At 35.1% G+C, this 24453-nt stretch overlaps 2 long non-coding RNA genes across 6 annotated transcripts; one reads left to right on the top strand and one right to left on the bottom strand.

Annotated features, from left to right (window-relative positions):
- Positions 1-744: 744 nt before the first annotated feature.
- Positions 745-13420, top strand: LINC03155 (long intergenic non-protein coding RNA 3155). 5 transcript variants are annotated; one of them, XR_007061545.1, is made up of 4 exons: positions 745-833; positions 7962-8112; positions 11131-11233; positions 11866-13419. It is a non-coding gene; the product is annotated as a long intergenic non-protein coding RNA 3155 (long non-coding RNA). The 5 variants fall into 5 exon arrangements; XR_007061546.1 differs by having other exon boundaries at positions 760-843; XR_002956880.2 differs by lacking the exon at positions 745-833 and having other exon boundaries at positions 8016-8112; positions 11866-12390; positions 13353-13420.
- Positions 13421-21382: 7962 nt separating this feature from the next.
- LOC124902169 (uncharacterized) lies at positions 21383-24356 on the bottom strand. The gene is made up of 2 exons (XR_007061547.1): positions 22829-24356; positions 21383-22009 (listed from the first exon to the last, which is right to left on the bottom strand). It is a non-coding gene; the product is annotated as an uncharacterized LOC124902169 (long non-coding RNA).
- Positions 24357-24453: the final 97 nt, after the last annotated feature.

The raw sequence follows: 24453 nt of genomic DNA, 5'->3' as shown, positions 1-24453 counted from the left end.
AAGAATGAAATTCTGTCATTCACAGCAACATAGGTGGCACTGGCCATTTGGTTTAACGTAATGAACATAGGCCATTATGTTAAGTGGAATGAGCCAAGCACAGAAAGGCAAATACCACATGTTGTCACTCATATGTGGGCAGTAAAAAAGTGGATCTCATGAAGATAGAAAGTAAATTGGTGGTTGCTAGAGGCCAGCAAGGGGAGTGGGAAGAGGAGATTAAGAGAAGAAAATATAAATGTATTTATCACCACTAAACTGTCCTCTAAAAATGTACAGATGGTAAATTATATATATATATTTTTTAACTCAATAAAAAGTTAAAAAAATTCTGCTGTGTGTTTATAGGGCACATGTACAAGACTTTCTCTAGGGTTGTATCAGTTTTCTATTCCTGCTGTAACAATTTACCACAAATTCAGTGGCTTAAAAGAACACATTTTTGTAAGATTTGAGTCAGTTTTAAAAAACACACACAGACTTATTGTCTTAGAATTGTTTTGGTTGGAAATCTGGCATGGCTCTCACTGAACTAACATCAAGATGTTGGCAGGCTGCATTTCTTTCTGAAGGCTCTAAAAGAGCATCTGGGTTGTTGGCAGAATTCAGTTCCTTGTGGTTGTAGATCCTCAGTTTCTTCCTGGTTGTAAACTTTGGGTCATTCCCAGCTTCTAAAGGTCACTGGCTTTTCTTGGCTTGTGGCCCCCTACCACTGTTTTAAAAGCCAGTAATAGCAGGCCACATCTTTCTCATACTGCCATCTGTCTGAATCTCAGCATCCAGAAAATATTCTCTGCTCTCAAGGAATTATGAGATTAGACTGGCTCACCAAGGTAATTCAAGGTAATTTCCCCATTTCAATGCCCTTAATGGTAATCACATCTGCCAAGTCTCTTTGAACATGCTAACTTACGTTAGCATGTTCACCTTATCTGAAGACTGGGATGTGGCTGTCTTTGGTGGGGGGCAATTATTCTGCCTAACCCAAAGATACACAACTTGCAGATATACAACTAGTTCATGGAGATGAAACATTTTCAAATCTACAAGAAAATGTTTTCTAAAATGAGCATTGCATATTAGACTTTCACGAGCACTGTATCAGACTTATATTTACTTCATAATATTGCCAATACTGATATCAGATATTTAATTTTCTAGCCAGTTCAGGATAATGTGAATTGTGAATAATATATTTGTTCATCCAGTCAACAAACATTTTTTATCAGATACCACCGATATGCTGGACAGTGTCATGGATCCTAAAAATATAGCTGTTATTATTATTTTTTTAAACAAAATCCCCACTGTGATAAAGCTTTTATTCTTTGGGACAGGCAGACAGTAATCCAGATAAATAAATGCAAGGGCAAATTGGGGGAAAAATTGGAATGGAGAGCTCAGAATCTGGCCCCAGAGAAGGGCAGAGGGAAAGGGGACCCAGTTCAGAATCTCGGTGCGTCCACACCAAACAATTCCATGAGGGCTGAAGAGACAGAGCTGAAAGGCTTGTCTGACATCACAAAAGACAGAAAAGTGAGCCCCATTTTCATCTCTATCCTGACAATGTTCCTGGCTTGATTTCCTCCTTCCAGCAGACACAAGAATCAGGGAGCGCACCCTGATGGTAACATTTTTTTCAGGGGCCTATTTTGGGGATCCTGGTGAGAACCTGAGTCCGTCACTGTCCACGGCAGCCCAGCATGGTCCCCAGTGCGTGGTCCAAGGCCAAGATTCTCTACCTCCATCCTGGAGGCAGAAGAAATGTCTGGGGGAAAATGAGAGGTTTTAGGTGGTTGGCACTGGGTGAGACCAAGGAGAAATTTTAAAGCTGTGTGTCCTGGGGCCGGGGGTGGTGGCTCACGCCTGTAATCCCAGCACTTTGAGAGGCCGAGGCGGGCAGATCACGAGGTCAGGAGATTGAGACCATCCTGGCTAACGGTGAAACCCCGTCTCTACTAAAAATACGAAAAATTAGCCGGGCTTGGTAGCGGGCGCCTGTAGTCCCAGCTATTCGGGAGACTGAGGCAGGAGAATGGCGTGAACCGGGAGGCGCAGCTTGCAGTGAACTAAGATCGCGCCACTGCACTCCAGCCTGGGTGACAGAAAGAGACTCCTTCTCAAAAAAATAAAAATAAAATAAAAATAAAAAATAGAAAAAGCTGTGTGTCCTTTGTTTCTTCATATTTTGCAGATTTTTGATGTCAAAATATTTTCATAGTCAAAAGAGTGTTAATAAAGAATGACTTCTCTGTTATAAAAACCCTAATAGTGAATGTATTTACCAAGAAATTAGATTCTATCTTTGGTTTTTTGTTTTTTGCCCCGTAGTTTTTAAAAAAATAGTTTTATTGTGTGGATATTCTACAGTTAGTGTATCTATTCACCTCTTGATGGACATTTGGTTTGCTTCCAGTTGTTTTTGCTATTTCAAATAAAGTTGCTACGAATGTTTGTCCAATCGTTTGGACATACACTTTCATTTGTCTTGGGCAAATAAGCAGGATTTGAATGACTAGGTGGTGTGATATGTTTAACTTTTTTTTTTTTTTTTTTTTTTTTGAGACGGAGTCTCGCTCTGTTGCCCAGGCTGGAGTGCAGTGGTGCATCGCGGCTCACTGCAAGCTCCACCTCCCGGGTTCACGCCATTCTCCTGCCTCAGCTTCCGGAGTAGCTGGGATTACAGGTGCTCGCCACCACGCCCGGCTAATTTTTTGTATGTTTAGTAGATATGGGGTTTCGCCGTGTTAGCTAGGATGGTCTCGATTTCCTGACCTCGTGATCCGCCCGCCTTGGCCTCCCAAAGTGCTGGGATTACAGGCGTGAGCCACCGCTCCCAGCCAGTTTAACTTTTAAAGAAACTGACAAAGTGGCTGTATTTCCAGCAGCAGTATATGAGCATTCCTGTTCCTTTGTGTTCTCACCAATGTTTAGTATGGTCAGTCTTTTAAATTTTAGCTATTCTAATAGGCAAGTAACAGTATCTCATTGTGGTTTTAATTTACATTTCCCTAATGATGAATGATGTGCTTATGTATCGTCCATCTGTATTCTATGGTGAAATGTCTGTTCAGATCTCTACATTTGTGTTAGACTATTTGTTTTCCTATTATTGAGTCCTGAGAGTTCTTTGCATATTTTGGATAACAAATGTATCTTCACCAGATATAGCTTTTGTAAATTTTTACTCCCAGTCTGTGATTTGTCTTTTTATTCTCTCGATAGTGTTTTTCTTTTTTCTTTTTTTTTTTTTTTTGACAGAGTCTGGCTCTGTCACCCAGGCTGGATTTCGGTGGCACGATCTCGGCTCACTGCAAGCTCCGCCTCCCGGGTTCACGCCATTCTCCTGCCTCAGCCTCTACGAGTGGCTGGGACTACAGGCGCCCGCCACTACGCCCCGCTAATTTTTTGTATTTTTGGTAGAGAGGGGTTTCATCGTGGTCTAGATCGCCTGACCTCGTGATCCACCCACCTCGGCCTCCCAAAGTGCTGGGATTACAAGCGTTAGCCACCGCACCTAGCCTCTGGACAGTGTTTTTCACAGGTCAGATTAATTTTTATATAAATCATTTATTTTATTTTTATTATGTAAAATTTTATAATTTTTAATTTTATTTTTAATTTCCTTTTTAAAAGTTAAATAAAATTTTAAGTGTAATGATGCAAAATTTTGTTTAAAAGTAAATGTATATAAAAATGTTGATATAGACTAAAAAATTGAATAAGTAAGAAGGTAGTTAGTTGTCACAGTAGGAGTGAAGTGAAAAGCTTCCCCTTTCACCCTCTGAAGATTACCGGAAATGAACTGACCATACACAGATTAATAAAAGAAAGGGTATACAAACTTACATAACCTGCAAAAACATGAGAGCTATACACAAAGTATAAGACTTGAAGATGGCTCAGATCTTAAACGCTCTCCTCATAGGCAATAGATATATAGACCCAGGATGCAGACATTATTTTGTAAATAATTTCCTTTGGAAGCTGGATGGGACAGACAAATTACAGGAAGGTGAGAGATGGAACTGCACAGGAAAAAAGTTTGTCTTTGTCACTTTAATCTTATCATTACTAGAGAATATTTATGAATATTTTAGAATAATATATTTTTAAGCCCAAATCTCACCAAATGTTTTTTCTAAAACAAATACTTTTTGTTGTTGTTTGTTTTTGTTACTGTGTCTCACTCTGTCACCCAGGTATGGAGTGCAGTGGTGCAACCATGGCTCACTGCAGCCTTCACCTCCTGGGCTCAAGTGATTCTCCTACCTCAGCCTTCCAAGTAGCTGGGCTACAGGCATGCACCCTCATGCCCTGGTAATTAAAGAAAAAAAAATTTCGTTAGAGACCAAGTCTCATTATGTCACCCTGGCTAGTCTTGAACTCCTGGAATCAACTGATCCTCATGCCTTGGCTTCCCAAATTATTGGGATTATAGGTGTGAGCCACAGTGACTGACCACATATTTCTATACTTCACTGAGGAAAGGAAGGTGCTAGGAAAATTGGTTAAGAACTATTTTTTAAAAAGCTATTAGTAGTGTTTTATTTTATTTTTTAATGATTGATTTTTGAGATTGGGATCTCACTATGTTGCCCAGGCTGGTTTCACATTCCCAAGTTTAAGCAATACCCCTGCCTCAGTCTCCCAAGTAGCTGGGATGACAGGTGTGTGTCACCATACCCAGCTCCATTAGTAGCGTTTTTAACAATTGTGGGCCACTGAGTAAGAATAATTTTTTTTAAATTAAAGGTTATTTTTTAAAAAGCACATTTGTAGAAAATTACTAGCATAATCTGCCTAAAATAAATATACATATTGAAAAAATCTTTGCTCCGAACAAAAAGAAATATATTCACCACACATACATACATATACACACACACACATGCACACACGCACGCGCACACACACACACACACACACACACACACACATTATGGAAGATTTCAAGACCAGGCAATAATTTCCACTCAATCCAAAAACAATGCAATCCCAGAGCTGAATATTTAGGTGAAAATATATCAGGAATGGGAGGCATTCAGGTTTAATTTTCATGTTTTGGTAGAGTTAGGATGTGAGTTTTCATTTAAAAATATTCTTTATTTTTTTTGCTACTATTGTGGTTTCTGTATTGTTACTATACAATCTGTAAACTAAATAGTAAAGGAGAGAAAAGTGATTTTCAAAGAAGCTGGCTTGGGAACAGGTACTATTCTGGGAAGATGAAAGGTTTCACTTAATGACTGGTACCTGTGCCACTCTGGTTATTTTAACTGTTAACCTTTTAGCAAGAGGTTTTTCTTTTAAAAGACATCCTTTAATATTTGGGAAGCTAGTGCAATAGTACACATTGAGGCCCACATACCACATGCCAAATATTTAAAAGGCACATTTCTAGCTAACCACTGTACATACATATATTTTTTCTTATTTTCTGATTTTAGTTTTTTTCCTTGTCAACAATTTATGTCCACACATATCTTCTATCATCCCACTTTGACAAGTAATATTATACCTTCAAAATGATGTGGAAGACTAGATTGGAATTTAGAACCGTAGAACCTTGTAATTGTACAGGCAAGTTTCTTCCTGGGAAAAAATAAAACAGGAAGAAAAGGCTGGGCAGCCTCTGGTTCAGGAAGGAAATTCAGGAGTCCCTTATAGCAGCATCTCTAGTACTTGGGAACTGAACAGACTTCTCGGCCTGTGAGGCTGGAATGGGCCCTTCTGGAGAACACGACAGAGAAGTTATCTACTGCCTTTGCCCCCAGGGCCCAGGCAACACTTTTACCCTCCATTGTTTCCGAAGTTAAGGGGAGGAGACAATGTTTTGTTTAGTGACCTCGACAGAAAAAGTGTCCTCCTGCAACCACTCATTTGTTACTTTCCTTCTTCCTGAATTGCCTGGACCCACTCCTCCTCCATTTGACTGGCTCTGTGCACTGATCTTATAGTCAGGAGATTTTTGGGAATTGTGGCTTCTAAAAATGTACACCCGACTCTACCCATAGCTGGCCCTGTGAACCTACACACCTGCTCCACTGTGTATCCTTCTCAAAGAGACACTCTTCCTGCTGAGTCTCTGCCCTCTGCTCCTAGATCCAAATGGCATCTCCTACCCTATCCCTGTATGGTTTAACCTAGGGAAACTCTTTCCCAGAGGAGTCAGGTAAGGAGACAGTGGCTGAGCTTCTTACAGACTTAAAGGAGACATCCTGGAATTTAGGAGTCAGTCCTTCCTTTCTGTAATCCCTGGCAGCTCCTGCTGCTGCTCAAAGTTTAGCTTTGTCTCTCATCCAGCTCAGACTTTTGCTGGTCCTGATGGCCTCTGCTTAGCTGTATTAGTACGCTCTTGCATTCCTATAAAGAAATACATGAGAAATACCTTTAGTTGGCTCACAGTTCCATAGGCTATACAGGAAGCATGGTGGTTTCTGCTTCCGGGGAGGCCTCAGGAAACTTTTACTCAAGGTGCAGGGCAAAAAAAAAAAAAAAAAAACAAAAACAAAAAAAACTACCAGCACTGCACTGTGAGGCCCTGATCCCTGAGCTAACTTCATATTATTACCTCTACAGCAAGTGTCCGTGAGAACATAGATATATTTCTTATGTGAGTACACAATTTACAGAAGAGGAACTACCCTCCCAAACCAAAACGTCATAATTTTAATTTACCAGCAAACCTAGGTTGCTTCTGTGAAATGATCTCATTTGCTGAGTTTTAAAATTGACTAAATTTCCCAATTTCCAAATGAAAATATTTAGTTATCTTGTCTTGCTATGTGTTTTTGGTTAATATGATGATTAATTTTTGGTCTATTACTTAATATATTCCATGATTGTTGATATGGATTATAAGGACTCACAAAATAGTTTTCAGATGTCTTTAATTTTTTTACTTAGTGTAGATCCTATAAATGGATTAGAAGTATTCTATTAACTCCCATGTATTCAGAAATCGAATTGGAGTGGTAAATTCTGTTTGAAGTAACAAGGGATATCAAAGGAAAAAAATAATTTTGTGACTATGTCTTCTATACGTAAATTTTTCAGGCATCTTTATCAATGGCTTATACTAAAGACATTTTCTGGATCATGGGTGACACACAGAAGACCTGTGGATAAGTGGGATTGTGTACACTACTGCATTTTATCATCTGGTTCATTTTTCAACTTTTATTTCTCTTAAGGATGTTTTATTAACTGGTGCATCACCAGGTTACCAGTCTCTGGAACACTAAACTTACCAGAAAATACTTGTTGATTGAATTAACAAGAAAACAACATTAGAAAACAGTGGTGGCTTGTTTTTGTCCATTGCAGTATCTTGGAGAGTAAAGCCTAACTCTTTAATTTTGGCCAAAGATATAAAGAAATACCTGAGAAACACCTTTAGTTGGCTCATGGTTCCGTAGGCTATACAGGAAGCATGGTGGTTTCTGCTTCTGGGGAGTCCTCCAACACTTACTGGCAGGGTAATTTTGAAGAAGTCATAATAAGATGGTTGTTACAATTAAATGAAATAATCAAAGTGGAAGAGCTTAGTTAGCTGTCTTCCCTAAATGAATCACTGGCAAGTAAGAGTGTGATTGATTTTCCTACCAGTCAGGACTCACCCCTTGAAGCTATAGGAGGGTAAACCTCTGAAGACCATACAATTTAGGGAACACTAACACCTCAAAAAACTCTGTAAACTTCCTTCCTTCCTTTTCTTCCTTCCTTCCTTCCTTCCTTCCTTCCTTCCTCCTTCCCTCCCTCTCTCTCTCTCTTTTTCTTTCTTTGTTCATTTCTGAGACAGAGTCTTGCTCTGTCATTCAGGCTAGAGTGTAGTGGCTGGATTATGGCTCACTGCCGCCTTGACCTCCTAGGCTCAAGCAATCCTCTCACCTCAGCCTCCCTAGTAGCTGGGACTATTGGCATGCTCAGCTAATTTTTTTCTCCTTTTCTTTTTGTAGAGACAGGGTCTCATCATGTTGCCCAGGCTGGTCTTGGACTCCTTGGATCAAGCAATCCTGCTGCCTCAGCCTCCCAAAGTGCTGGATTACAAGCATGAGCCACTGTGCCCAGCCTTAAGTTTTTTTCATACAGGAGGAAAGAATTTGGAAAGTAGGGGTGTGTGTGTGTGTGTGTGTGTGTGTGTGTGTGTGTGTGTTGGTTAGGGAGCCAACACATTTTTCTGCAAAGCTTGAATTCTATGCCTCAGTTTTTCATTTTTGTTATGTGCAAAATAAAATCGTATCCTGCTATAGATTTAAACCTGTGAGCGAATCCTACTCAAAACCTGATTCAAACTTTGTGTAGATCTTTGCCTCTCTGTGGCATAAGAATAAATTCTTCTGGTTTTCTTCCCTCAGAAAAATGGACTTAGACTTCCCACAAGCCTTCCAGAAAGAACTCACCTGCCTCATCTGCCTGAATTACCTCATAGACCCCATCACTATAGGCTGCGGGCACAGTTTCTGTAGGCCCTGCCTCTGCCTTTGCTGGGAAGAAGCACACACTCCTGCCCTGCATGCAGGGAATTGTCACAGCAGGAAGATTTCAACCAATATTCTTCTGAAGAATCTAGTGTCCATTGCCACAAAAGCCAGTCTCTGGCAATTCCTGAGCTCTAATGAACAAATGTGCGGGATCCACAGGGAGACAAAGATGTTCTGTGATGTGGGCAAGAGCCTGCTCTGTTTTCTGTGTTCTAACTCTCAGGAACACTGGGGCACAGAAACACTGGCTCACTGAAGGGGCAGCTAAGGAACACTGTGTAAGTGATGACTCAGAGCACTTTGAAAGCTGGAGGGCAGCACAGGTAAAGAGATTAGGAGGAAGATGAAGAGCACGAGGATTAATCTATTCTTTACCGAGTGTCATGTACTGCCTAGGTATCAGTGATATAACTATTATCCTGCTATCAAATCTACTGATAAGTGGCTCATTTAACTTATAGGCACTCATCACAATGCAAGAAATCCTCTGACTGCTCCTACCATCATGGCCCCTAGCCATGATATGACTTGTCTCCACACTAGCAGAAACTAATCGAGTCCCTATATTAGGGATAAGTGGCATTTTTATATATATATATATATATATATATATATATAATTTTTATATATAAATTTTATATGATATATAAAACATAAATATTTATACAACATATATTATATACATATATACATACATATATATATATATATCACAATGCCAAAAATGTTTTGTCTTCGAAATAATCACAGTGCATTTGGAGAGACAAATGCATCTACAACCAGGCGACAACACTGAAAATAAAATTGTAGCAGTTTGAATAGGGGATTAAATGAGTTAATTTTTTCCTGGGGTTCAAAAAAAGAAACAGCAGCAAAAAATGGTACTTAAGATTGAAAGTTGGCCGGGTGCAGCTACTCATGCCTGTAATCTCAACACTTTGGGAGGCCAAGGTGGGCAGATAACCTGAGGTCAGGATTTCGAGACCAGCCTGGCCAACACGGCGAAACAACACCATTACTAAAAATACAAAAATTAGCTGGGCATGGTGGCAGGTGCCTGTAATCCCAGCTACTCGGGAGGCTGAGGCAGGAGAATCTCTTGAACCCAGGAGGCAGAGGTTGCAGTGAGCCAAGATCACGCCATTGCACTGCAGCCTGGGTGACAAAAGCAAAACTCCATCTCAAAAAAAAAAAAAAAAAGAAAGTTCTGGGTTATGACACAGAACAAATGCAACATGAATATGTCATGGTTATGAACATGTAGACTACTCAAGATTGTGTATTTTTAAAATAATAGAATACTAGGTTAAAAAATGAGCATTACAGAATGAAAAATAAGCCACAAATTAGCAGAAGATAATTGTAACACATAAAAACAAAGGATTAAATACAATGGTAATGTAATGATAGCTATTCTTACAAAGTTGTTTCTATGTCTCAGGTACTATGCTGAACAACATACGTGCATCTTGAATGCGTGAAGAATTCCTATATAAGAAAAACACAAACAACAACATTTAAAATGAGCAAAAAACCCGAATAGGAATTTCACAGAAGAGAAAACATAAATGGCCCATAAACATAATAAAAGATACTCAACTACAATTCTAATCAGGGAAATAAATATTAAAACCCCAAAGAGATACCACTTCATACTCTAGGAAAAACCTAAAAGGCTGTGAATATCTAGTTTCATTGAGGAAGAACAATGGGAAGACTATTCACTGCTGGTGAGGGTGTAGATTGGTACAACTGCCTTGGAGAACAGTATGATGCCACTCAATAGAGCTGAACACACACATGCCCAATGACCAAGCAATTCCACTCCAGGTACATACTGGAAAAATACTCCTGCACAAGTAGAATAGGAGACACTGCATAACAAAGTTCACTACAACATGAGGCTGAGGTGGGAAGATGGCTTGAGACCAGGAGTTCGAGGCTGCACCAGTAGCTGGGACTATAAGCATGTGTCACCGTGCCTGGCTAATTTTTTGCTGTTGTGGTTGTTGTTAGAGATGAGGTCTTCCTTTATTGAACAAGCTGGTCTCCAACTCCTGGCTTCAAGTGATCTTCCCACTTCTGCCTCCCAAAGTGCTGGGACTACAGGTGTGAGCCACCATGCCCAGCCAAGTTCTGCTTCTTAACCTGAGGTAGATACTTTGATGTTTCATTTTCCTTTATTGTACAGATATACTTTATATTCTCATATGTGACACAAGTCAAAATTTAAAAAAACAATTTAATGTTTATTCCCTTTAGATGAATGATGGGCAAATTTACATAATGAATTCATTACTGAAACAATGTATAGATTTCAGACTAGGAAAGTAACTATTTATAAAAGAAAAGCTTAAAACCTGAAACAGAAACAAAATCCTGAAACTGTAAAATTGAGTCAAACTAAAATTTAAAAAACAAAGCAATGATATAAAGTATCATTTGTCCAAATGTGTTCTACAAAACGCTTTTTTCTTAAATATGTCTGAGGAAAAACAGGTTCTAGGAGTAAAATATGTTTGAAAAATGCTGAGTTAAACAACTGAACCTATGAAGGAAGGAATAGAACTTCTCAAGCTCTTGACTCTGGAATCTTTTTTACATGGCAATTAACACCATGCTTCTTCTTGGATTTGTATTTCAGATAAACACAATCTGGGAAACATTTTATAATACAGAGGGCCACACCAGATTGAATATTGCCCCCAGGAATGAAATGAAAACAGGAATGGATTCTCCAGTAAGAGGTACCCAGATATCCTAATCTTCAGTAGCTGACCTAAACCCTGGACAAGTGGGATCAAATCCCATAACCAAACACAACTTTTTAGGAACTAAGTGGATAATCACTCTGTGTTGTATGAACATGTGGGCAGTGTGTTTCCTACACAGCTTAAAAGTGCAACAAAAAAAGATCTAGGTGTCATATAAAGAATTTCTACCACTATTAGGGTAATGGTGGACTGACAGGCAGAGGGGCTCAGATGTGACTTAAGTAAAGTTCAATAGAAGCTTCCAGCACAGATATTCATGTTTCAAATTGGACCGCTCAGTTAAAAAGTTTTCCCATTAGACTTCCCCTAATCAAATTAGAAATTATCTAATTTTCTAATAAAGTTTTCCCCAGGCACAAGGAATCTGTGAACTGGACCTAAAAAATTCTTCGTAATGTACTTTTATTACCATAAAAGATGCACATTTATTTTAAAAACTTCTCTACACCACTATCATAAACCTTTGCACACACTTATTTCTTTTGGAAGCTAACTTCTGAGTGGTAATGAAATATATTCTTAAGAAAAAAGTCCGACACAATGCCTTTGCGTCTTAAAATATGTTAAAATATTATTTGAAAAGAGTCAAACATCTGTCTTTTCAGGGTATCACAGGGCGTCAAACTGGAAAATGTGGCACTGCCTGGAGTTTCTACCTGGTGAAGGGTGGCAGACTTTTCTCTTCAGAGGACTCTTGACAGGGTAGCATCCATTATCTTGCCAATTTACTACAACCTAGGCCCAATCCTCAGTCTTATAGGTTCAGAAATTTATTTTTATCAGCATCAACAGGGTAGCTACATTGCTTAGAAGCAAACAAAATTAACCATGCTTCAATAGAAATCAGGATATAGATGTATTAATACAGAATGACAAATATAACTGTGACAGAAATAGGAATGCCTGTTTATGGTCATATACGGCCAATACTTTCATTACAGCCAAACTCATATATGCAGCCAAATAAGAGGCCCCTGGATACACAGGGAATCAGAATAAAAAAAGAAGAACTGAACATTTAATAGTCTTCTTTCATTCAATCAATAATTTTTTTTAATTAAGCAACTACTATGTCTGGGTAACCTTCTAGGTCCTGGGGATACAGAGGTCTCTGCTTACAGAAGTCATATGTAAGTAGCAGGTGAAGAGTATGTGTTTCACAGAAGTTTATTACAATATATTAACAAGAGCAAAAAATTTTGGAAGCAATCTAAATGTTCAATAATAAAGCTCCAATTAAATAACAATAAATCCAAATAATGAAAAATAATGCAGCCCTTTAAGAATAAGCACTTGCAAGCCGTAATTCATGACATGGGAAAATTATCATAATGGAAAAAGAAGCAAGCTATATACAGTGCATGATCCTATACACACACATACATACATACATATTTCCTATCCCTTTATATGAATAAGAAAACAAGCGGGAGGAAAGTCGTATCTTTAGTCAAGTCTTGTTTACTAACGTACTATTAATGATTATCTTTTCTTTTTCTTTATACCTTTTTGCATTTTTCAATTTCCTAAAATAGCCTTACATGCCTTTTATCACCAGGAGAAAAATTACTTCTAAAGTAATTTCAGTCAACATGCATACTAAGAACTCTTCAGATTTATCTGTTAGAAGCTGTGCATGAATGCCAGTCCTTGCATCTGTCTTGGAACTCACAGAGAGCTCTTTTCCCATGGCTTTAAGCAATACTCAAAAAGACTAGCATACCTGAATTTCCTAGTCCTATGTTTTTTTCATCCAACAGCCAGTCTTGTATTTCTAGCTGTTTTCTAAACATTTCAACCAAACCATTTTACAGATAACTCATACAGTCATCCTTTGATATGCATGGGGAATTGGTTCCAGGATCCCCCTTGTATACCAAAATCCATGGATGCTCAAGTTACTGGTATAAAATAGTGTAGTATTTGCATATAACCTACACACATCCTCCTATATACTTTAAATAATCTCTAGATTACTTAATAACAATTAATACGATGTAAATGCTACGTAAATAGTTGGTATACCATGTTGTTTTTTATTTGTATCATTTTTTATCGTTGTATTGTTTTTTCTGACAATTTTGTTCCACAGTTGTTTGAATCAGTGGATGCAGAACCCATGAATATGGAGAGTCAATTGCATTTTATTATGCCCAAAGGTAAATGCATAATTTTTCCACACAGCTAATCTTCTAGCAACCCCATTGCTGTCCATGGCAAACAGGCTTAGTTAATCTCGCCCTTTCCCGTTTCAGGTTCATTATACACCATGGAATACTATGCAGCCATAAAAAATGATGAGTTCATGTCCTTACTAGGGACATGGATGAAGCTGGAAACCATCATTCTCAGCAAACTATCGCAAGGACAAAAAACCAAACACCGCATGTTCTCACTCATAGGTGGGAATTGAACAATGAGAACACTTGGACACAGGAAGGGGAACATCACACACCAGGGCCTGTTGTGGGGGGGGCGGAGGGGGGAGAGATAGCATTAGGAGATATGCCTAACATAAATGATGAGTTAATGGGTGCAGCACACCAACATGGCACACGTATACATATGCAACAAACCTGCACATTGTTCATGTGTACCCTAGAATTTAAAGTATAAAAAAAATAAAAAAATAAAGAAAGAAATAGATGTTCTGTAAAAATATACACAATTTTTACAGACAAATACATTTATAAGTTGTTTTTATCTTAAAAATTGGGGATATTTCATATTTATAACTAAATATTGAGCCTTAAGTTTTCTTGGCCATTTCTAGGCTAATAAACTAAGAATCATGTAAACTAAGCCAAAGTAGAATAGACATAAAAGTCCTGAACACTTCAACTTCCTATCCTTCAAGAAGTATACCTCGCAAAGCTCATTTGAGAGAGGAAAAGCTTTCCTCCACCCTCGGTTTTACAGTGCTGAGGCTTCTCATCACATTTCTATGACTTGTAGCTTAAATCCATGTTACATGGTCACTGGCATTGTTAGTGCTTCTCTTTTAACACTGTAGGAATTAATCAATTTGGTGGCATATTTAATTAATTCTATCACTAGAGGATTGTAAAATTACATATATGAATACCTCACTTTAGAGGCCACTTAATTTTTTTCCAAGGGGATATTTGACTATATTTCACTTGTGTCTTATTTAATGATTTTATAATTTAAACCCTAAATTATAAATCTAGAATTTAGAAAGTATATTTCCCCACTGGATTACATTTTTGGAAATATTACTTTATATGTGCACAAATATTACAAAATCACTGTAGACACCTGAAAACTATATTATCTTTTAAAGACAATATTTACATTAAACTGGTATAACAAAATTGTTTGGTGCATTTTTTCCAGTACATTTTGTGTATATTACATGTTTAACCTTTTTTTATTCAGCAAATAATTTTTGAGTATCTACTAAGTGCTAGGTTCTGCATTACTAACTGAATTTAAAGAGTGAAATAACAGACATGGTCTCAGACAATAAAAATTAACATTAGGTCACTTATTTATATATTTTTAAATGGTAATTATGAAAACTTTTTGAGATTTTTAACTAGATAACATTATAATAACGCACTTGATGTTGTTAATAGTTGCCAGTGAGCAAAAAAGAAAATAAAAAGATGGTTTTATTCAATATACACTTTAAAATTGCAGAAAATAGTCAAGTTTCTCTGCTTTGCAGTTGAATGTCTATGTGTTTTTCTCTGCAACTTGGCTTTTGTGGAGTGAAACAATTATTCTTCCAGCCCAATGAAGGCAGACGAGTAACAATAAATCTAATATTTTAAATGCTTATCAAAAGATAGTAAACACATTATTTCAGAATACTGAGTTCAATAAGTTGACCTACAAAAAAAGCCAAACTGACAGTATTACTGAATAAGGAAAGGCCCAAAGAGACAAAATACTTTTTATTTTGTAACCTCGGTATGACACAACTTACCCTAACTATAAAGACCCTAAATTACCAAGATGGGTGCTTATAATATGGAGAGTTACAAAGTCATTTCACTTTTAGCTTTTTTATTTCTCTCAGAATAAAAAGTGTATAAGGAGTTGATAAAGAAGTTGATACTATAAGTTAGTACTACAATGACAGCACTTTTCAAGAAAAGACTTTTTTCTCTCTTACAAATATCATGTTAGCAGTATTTGTTTTCTCCAGAAATAATGAGTAAATAAAAACATAAGTATGTGGGTAATTAGTGTAGTTTCTTAAATAAATGAGTTAGGCAACAGGCTAATAATGTATATTTCACTGGCTTTTCAATGCCAACAATCATATTCTTTATAAGGCACAGAGAAGATTTTTCTAAAGAATAAGTATGTGAACCTGAAAAGTAATCACCACTTGGTAGTGACAATATGGATAGGGTGAAGGGCGTCACCAAGAAGCAATGAAAAGATACATTTGCAGTTAAATTTGAAAACCATGATGTTTAATACATATAGTAATAAAGAATACTTTCTCCTGTCTCAAAATTATTTTAGAATTTAAGATAGAAGCTAAAATACCTAGGGATAATGATATGACTATCAAAAATTAAAAATTAAAGGATATTTTGAGTATTATAAATTAAGAATGAGAACTTATTACCCAATGAACAGGGGATAATTCATTATGCTCCATATCCATTGAATTAAAAGACAGGCCCATTACCTGGATAATTTGAAAGTTTAATTTTATTTAAAAGTCTTGTTTCATTCATCAAGCTAAAGGATTAGCTCCCAGAAATATTCCAGGATTGCATACCCCCAACTCTGTAGGAAGTATAGAAAGAATGTTATAAGGGCCACCATCTAAACATTATTATATAAATAATTTAGTACCATTCCATTTGCCTTTGTAGATTTAAAAATGTAAATGGCTTTCTCATATTAGGAAACATCACTTTTCAAAACCCAGGTAAACATAGTATATTGCAAGAGAATAATTATTTTCTTTATTAAAAAAGAAATACTGGATGCTAAGTCCAAAACACATAAATTATTTTATACTAATAACTACTAATATTTTATTCATTAAAATATAAAGGTCAAAGATTTCAAAATGATCTTTAAATGATTAATAACATGTTGATCTTTTTCTTCTTTCTGTAAACCTTTTTGAGTCTTAACAATACTAAACTATACAAGCAATATTAAATAGTATATAAACTTGGATTAAAATATTCAAATTTACTAGAATGTGGACATTGGAAAGAATGAAAATAAACAGAAGCATAAAGCAGCAGATATAAAATTAAGAAAGCAACTAAGAGTGTTTAAAGTGCATATTCATCTGTAGTCTAATGTCTACCATAAACAATGACTCTTCTCAGTAAAACACAAATTGTTCATGAAGGGAAAAAGCATGTTGTATTAGAGCATATTCAACATAATTTTTTTAGTACTAACTTGTGCCTGGAGTATTATTGGTTTTTCTATTATGAACTTATGCACTTGATAATTTTTTTCATCAAAATTGTATGTACAACTCCATTCAAAAGCAGTTTTTGGTCGTTTTTTTTTTTTTTATTTTGAGACAGAGTTTTGCTCTTTTCACCCAGGCTGGAGGGCAATGATGCGAATTTGGCTCACAGCAACCTAGCAAATTTTGCCTCCCAGGTTCAGGTGATTCTCTTGCCTCAGCCTCTCGAGTGGTTAGGACTACAAGCATGCACCACCATGCCTGGCTAATTTTGTGTTTTTAGTAGAGACATGGTTTTGCCATGTTGACCAGGCTGGTCTTGAACTCCTGACCTGAGGTAATCCGCCCACCTTGGCCTCCCAGAGTGCTGGGTATGGGCAAGAGCCACCATACCTGGCCTCAAAAGCAGTTTTTAAAAGCAAACACAATATAACACCAAAGTTGAAAAATCCATGCTCACTCAAGGATGCCAGGTTTAATAAATTATTGATAGAATACTACATCAAAAATAAGACAATAAACCAAAATATACCATTAAAGATGTATCCACTCCTACAACTAGAGATAACTAATCTATCTGGTAGCAAATGATACTTCAATCAGTTTCAGCATGTCTGAAATCTTTAAGGACAAAAGTGATAAAACATGACTTCATTCTTCATTAGCCTCTTAGAACACTTGAAGGAAAATAATTTCTGAAGCACGAAGAGGTAAAGAGGTGTAATCTTTCAAAAAGATACTCAGTGTTCAAAATCCAAGAGTGCAATATCAGGCTGGGTGCGGTGGCTTATGCCTGTAATCCCAGCACTTTGGGAGGCCATGGTGGGTGGATCACCTGAGGTCAGGAGTTCGAGTCCGGCCTGGACAACAGGGTGAAACTCTGACTGTACTAAAAATACAAAAATTAGCCAGGCATGGTGGTGTGCACCTGTAGTCCTAGCTACTTGGGGGGCTGAGACAGGAGAATCGCTTGAACCTGGGAGGTGGAGGTTGCAGTGAACCGAGATCATGCCACCTCACTCCAGCATCAGTAACAGAATGAGATTCCATCTCAAAAAAAGAAAAGAGTGTAATATCGGTATACACAGATAATATACTGAATGAAACAAATAGAATAATTTGAAGAGGTATCTTGATGAACAAGGAGTCATTAGAAAGGTTGTATTTATGTCTTTGAAGGAAATTGCAATGTGAGAAATTAATACTTTGACTACTATAGTAAAAGTTTATTGCTAACATCTATTGAGTTATTAACGTGTGTTAGGCAGAGTACCATATAATTTACAAGTGTTATCTCATTTATTGTAGGTAAAATGTAATTTCAAACTCTGGGAGTATAAATGAATTAGATAGAATAAAATTCTATTTAAATGGCCATCAGTAAATCGGTATCTAGGAACAGGGTGATACAGTGCCCAAGTTTTCTATTCTTACTAAATGTTGTGTTTCCTTTTCAATGTTTTCTTGGATATTGCTCTTTTTTGGTGATTTTGATTTTTTTTATTTTAGAAAACTAATAAATTGACTCTTCTTGGTACTGACTCGGGTTTTATAGAAGAAAAAGTAATTAAATTCTGTACATTTACCTTTACCTCATTTTTTCTCTTTTAAATTTACTTTAATTGACATACAATAAATGTACATGTTATGGGGTACAGAGTGATATTTTGATATATTTATGCAATGCGTAAAGATCAAGTCAGAGTCATTATCATATCCATTACCTAAATCATGTATTATTTCTTTGCAGTGAGAATATTCAAAATCTTTTCTTTTAGTTATTTGAAAACACACAATAAATTCCCATTAACTACAGTCACCCAACAGTGCTGTAGAGAACTAGAACTTCTTCCTTCTCTCCAGCTGTAATTTTGTATGTATTAAGCACATTTTTCTTATACTCTTCTTTCTCCTACTCTTTCCAGGATATGGTAACCAAAACTCTACTATCTACTTCTACGAGATTAAAAATTTTAGCTTCCATACATAAGTGAGAACACGTAGTTATGTGGTGTTTATATTTCTATGCCAGGCTTATTTCACCTAACATAATGCCCTCCACTTGCATTCTTGTTGCCACAAACAACAGGATTTTGTTCTTTATTATGACTAAATAATATTCCATTATATATGTATGTCACATTTCTTTATCCATTCATCTGTTGATGGACACTTTTGTTGATTCCATATCTTGGCTATTGTGAATAGTGCTGTAATAAACATGGGGGTGCAGGTAACTCTTTGATATACTGATTTTCTTTCCTTTGGATATATACTGAAAACCATATGATTAAATTAATAAACACAATAAAAGCGTTTGGCAAAATTAAATATTCTTACATGACAAAAAACTTCTCAACAATTTAGTATAGAAAATATATGCCTTAACACAAAGGACATAAAGGACAAATCTACAGCTAAGATCATACTGAGTGTGGAAAAGGTGAAAGATTTTACTGTGAACAAGAAAAAGATTTTACTGGAACAAGAAAAGGATGCCTATTCTCACCAATCATATTTCACATAGTGAAAGTCTTAGCCAGGACAATTAGGTGAGAGAAAGAAATAAAGGACATCTGAATTGGAAAGGAGACAGTCAAATTGTCCTTGTTTAAAGACAATGTGATCTTATACATGGAAAAAAATAAGACTCTACCAAAAGCTTCTCAGGGTGATACATGAAATTAATAAAGTTGCAGGATATAAATCAACATACAAAAATCAGTAGCATTTCTATATATTGATAGTAAACTAGCTGAAACAAGAAATTAAGAAAGCAATTCCTTTTACAATAGCTACAAAAATGTACTTAGAAATAAATTTAACCAAGTAAAAGATTTCGACAACAAAAATGACAAATATTAATGAAAGAAATTAAAGAAAACATAAAAAAGCAAAGACATCCACGTTTATAGATTGAAATAATATTCTTAAAATGACCCACTATCCTATGTGATTTACAAATTTAGTACAATCACTAGCTTGTATTTTTAAAAGCACCTTTGCTGCATATTCTTAACATATTCAATGACAATGCCTGGATTTAAGTTTGAGGTATTATTATATCTATTTTATACTGGGCACAATATAATGTTATCAGAGGTAACGGTTTTGATTGGTCCTAGGTCATACAGTAATATATACATTGTCATTTATAGACATGCTATCTTTTAATACTCAGGCATTTAGAAAGTTCATTTAGACAAAGTTATAAAAACTTGCCTTCCTTTCTGCCTATATCACCTAAAAATCCTAATTTAAGAGGTAATAACATTTTTTATTTGATATACAATTTATCAACACAATAAAAATCTAACAATTATCATGTGCAGAGTGTGAAAATCTCATCAGATTAAGGAACACAAAGACATCTTTTTCATATTTTGAATGTAAAACTGTTTTGGAAACTGTTATTTTTAGAAACAGTTAAAAACATTGTTTCATTAGTTTTTCATGTAAAATTGTGACAACCAGCATGAAATAACTGTCATCACAGAAGCATGGTATATTCGATTCCGAAACATATTCTTTGTAAGTTTTAATATATTTATGTATTATTTATACTTAATTGTAACCCATAATGTACAGATATTATTTTTCCTTCAACTCTTAAGAATATTCTTAAATAATAAAATTAATGAATTATAATTTTTGTTGGTTGGGAAAAAGACACACACATGACAGTGCATCACTTCACCTCATCATTTCATCTCATTTCATCTTATCCCATCTCATCTCATCATTTCATATCATCTCATCATTTCATCTCATCATTTCATCAAATCTCATCTCATCTCATTTCCATTTCATTTTCATTATTTCATCATTTCATTTCACTATTTCATTTCATTTCATGTAATTTCATTTATTTCATTATGTCATTTCATATCATCTCATTTCATTTCATGTCATATTTTTTATATCATTTTTCGTATCATTTTTCATCTCATTTCATCTCATGTCATATTTTTTATATCATTTTTCGTATCATTTTTCATCTCATTTCATCTCAATTCATTTCATCTCATCATTTCATCTCACCTCATCATTTCCTCCTTTCTTTTCAACATTTCATCTCATTTCCTCTCATCTCATTTCAATTTTATTTCGTTATTTCATCTCATTTCATTATTTCACCTAATTTCATTATTTCATCTCATCTCATCTCAATTCATCTCATCTCATCTCATCATTTCATCTCATTTTTCATCTCATCATTTTTCATCTCATCATTTAATCTCATTTCATTTCATCTCATTTCAGCTCATTTCATGTCACATCTCTTCATCATTTCAACATTTCATTTCATCTCATCATTTCATCTCATCTTTCAATTTCATTTCAATATCATCAATTCATCATTTCATTTCACTTCATTATTTCATTATTTCATTTCATTTCAATTCATCTCATTTTTCATCTCATCATCTCATTTCATCATTTCATCTCATTTCTTCTCATTTCATCTCATTTTATCTCATTTCATCTCATCTCATTTCAATTTCATTTCATTATTTCATTTCACTTCATTTCATTTCATCTCATCACTTTATCTCATCTCATTGCATCAAATCATTTCTTCTCATCTCATCTCATTTCATCATTTCATCTCGTTTCATCTCATTTCATCTCATCTCACCTCATCATTTCATCTCATCCTTTCATTTCATCTCATCGTTTCATCTCACCTCAGCATTTCATCATTTCATCTCATCATTTATTTCATCTCATTTTATCTCATTTCATCTCATATCTCAATTCAATTTCATTATTTCATTTCATCTCATTCATTTCATCTCATTTCATTACATCTCATTTCCTCTCATCATTACATCTCATCTCATCATTTCATCTCATCATTGCATCTCATCATTTCATCTCATCATTCATCTCATTTCATCTCATCATTTCCATTTCATTATTTCATTTCATCATTTAATTTCATCATCTCATTTAATTTCACCTCATTTCATTATTTCATTTCATTTTTTCATTTCATTGTCATTTCATTTCATCTCATTACATTTCATCTAATTTCATTTCACCTCATTTCATCTCATCATTTCATCTCATCATTTCATCTTTTCATCTCATTTCATCTCATCATCTCATCAACTCTTTTCATCTTATCTCATCATTTCATTTCATCTCATCATTTCATCTCATCTCGTATCTTATCTCATTTCAATTTCGTTTCATTATTTCATGTCATCTCATCTCATCATTTCATCTCATCATTTCATCTCATCACCTCATCATTTCATCATTTTATTTCATCATCTCATCATTTCATCTCATCTCATTTCGATTTTATTTCAATTTCATTTCATCTCATCATTTCATCTCACCATTTCATTTCATCATCTCATCTCATCATTTCATTTCATCATTCATCTCATCATCTCATCATTCATCTCATCATTTCATATCATCATTTTATCTCATCTATCATTTCATCTCATTTCATCTCATCTCATTCCATCATTACATCTCATTTCATCTCATTTTATGTCATCATTTCATGTCATCATTTCATCACATCTCATCTCATCATTTCATCTCATCATTTCATCATTTCATCTCATTTCAACTCATTGCATCTCAGCTCATCATTTCCATTTCATTATTCCGTTTCATCATTTCATTCATTATGTCATTTCATCTCATATTTCATCTCATCTCATCATTTCATCTCATTTTATCTCATCTCATTTCATCATTTCATCTCATCATTTCTTATCTCATCATTTCCATTTCATTTTCATTTCATTATTTCATCATTTCATTATTTTATTTCATCTCATTTCATTATTTCATTTCATTATGTCATTTCATTTCATCTCATTACATTTCATCTAATTTCATTTCACCTCATTTCATCTCATCCTTTCATTTCATCTCATCATTTCATCTTTTCATCTCATTTCATCTCATCATCTCAACCCTTTTCATCTTATCTCATCATTTCATCATTTCATCTCATCATTTCATCTCATCTCGTATCTTATCTCATTTCAATTTCATTTCATTATTTCATGTCATCTCATCTCATCTCATCATTTCATCTCATCACATCTCATCATTTCATCATTTTATTTCATCATCTCATCATTTCATCTCATTTCGATTTTATTTCAATTTCATTTCACTATTTCATTTCATCTCATTTCATCTCACCATTTCATTTCATCATCTCATCTCATCATTTCATTTCATCATTCATCTCATCATCTCATCATTCATCTCATCATTTCATATCATTTTATCTCATCTATCATTTCATCTCATTTCATCTCATCTCATTCCATCATTACATCTCATTTCATCTCATTTTATGTCATCATTTCATGTCATCATTTCATCACATCTCATCTCATCATTTCATCTCATCATTTCATCATTTCATCTCATTTCAACTCATTGCATCTCAGCTCATCATTTCCATTTCATTATTCCATTTCATCATTTCATTCATTATGTCATTTCATCTCATCATATTTCATCTCATCTCACCATTTCATCTCATTTTATCTCATCTCATCATTTCATCATTTCATCTCATCATTTCTTCTCATCTCATCATTTCCATTTCATTTTCATTTCATTATTTCATCATTTCATTATTTTATTTCATCTCATTTCATTATTTCATTTCATTATGTCATTTCATTTCATCTCATTACATTTCATCTTTCATCTCATAATTTCATCCATCATTTCATTTCATTTCATCATTTCATCTCATGATTTCATCTCATCTCATTATCTCATTTCATCTCATTATTTCATCTCATTTCATCTCATCTCATTTCATCATTTCATTTCACCATTACATCTCATCATTTCAACTCATCTCATTTCAATTTCATCATTACATTTCATAATTTCCTTTCATTATTTCATTTCATTTCATCTCATTTCATTATTTCATTTCATCTCATTTTTCATCTCATCATTTTTCATCTCATTTCATTTCATCATTTCATCTCATCGTTCATCTCATCTCATCATTTTATCTCATTATTTCATCTCATATCATCTCATTACAATTTCATTATTTCATATCATTTCATTATTTCATTTCATCTCGTTTCATCTCATTTCATCCATCATCTCATTTCATCTCATTTTATCTCATCTCCTCTCCTTTCAATTTCTTTTCAATTTTGTCATTTCGTCTCATCATTTCATCTCATCATTTCTACTCACCATTTCATCTCAAAATTTCATCTCATCATCTCATCTCATCATTTCGTCATTTCATCTCATCATTTCATCTCATCATTTCATCTAAGTGAAATGATGTAATGGAATCATGAAATGAAATGGATAGGATGCCCTCAGTGATGTTAAATTTAAAAATTGTTTCTTTTCATGTATGCATTTTTATATTTATATTTACTTATAGTTATTTTTACTTTTTATTTATATTTTTACTTATTTCTTTATTTATAAACAAGGTCCTGTTCTGTGGCCTAGGCTGGAATGCAGTGGTGCATTCACAGTTCACTGAAGCCTCAAGCAAACCTCCCACCTTAGCCTCCCAGGTAGCTGGGACCCCAGGTGCGCACCACCACACCTGGTTAATATTTTATTATTTGCAGAGATGGAGTCTTGCTATTCTGCCCAGGCTGGTCTCAAACTCCTGGGCTCAAGCAATCCTCCTGCATTGGCAACCCAAAATGCTGGGAGGACAGATATGAGCCACAGTGCCCAACCTATTTATTTATTTATTTATTTAATAAAGACAAGGTCTCACTATGTTGCCCAGGCT

Source organism: Homo sapiens, chromosome 9, assembly GCF_000001405.40.
Source record: "Homo sapiens chromosome 9, GRCh38.p14 Primary Assembly".
Taxonomy (NCBI): Eukaryota; Metazoa; Chordata; class Mammalia; order Primates; family Hominidae; genus Homo; species Homo sapiens.
Note: the sequence above shows the minus strand (reverse complement) of the source record. Positions and strands in the feature narration are given on the sequence as shown.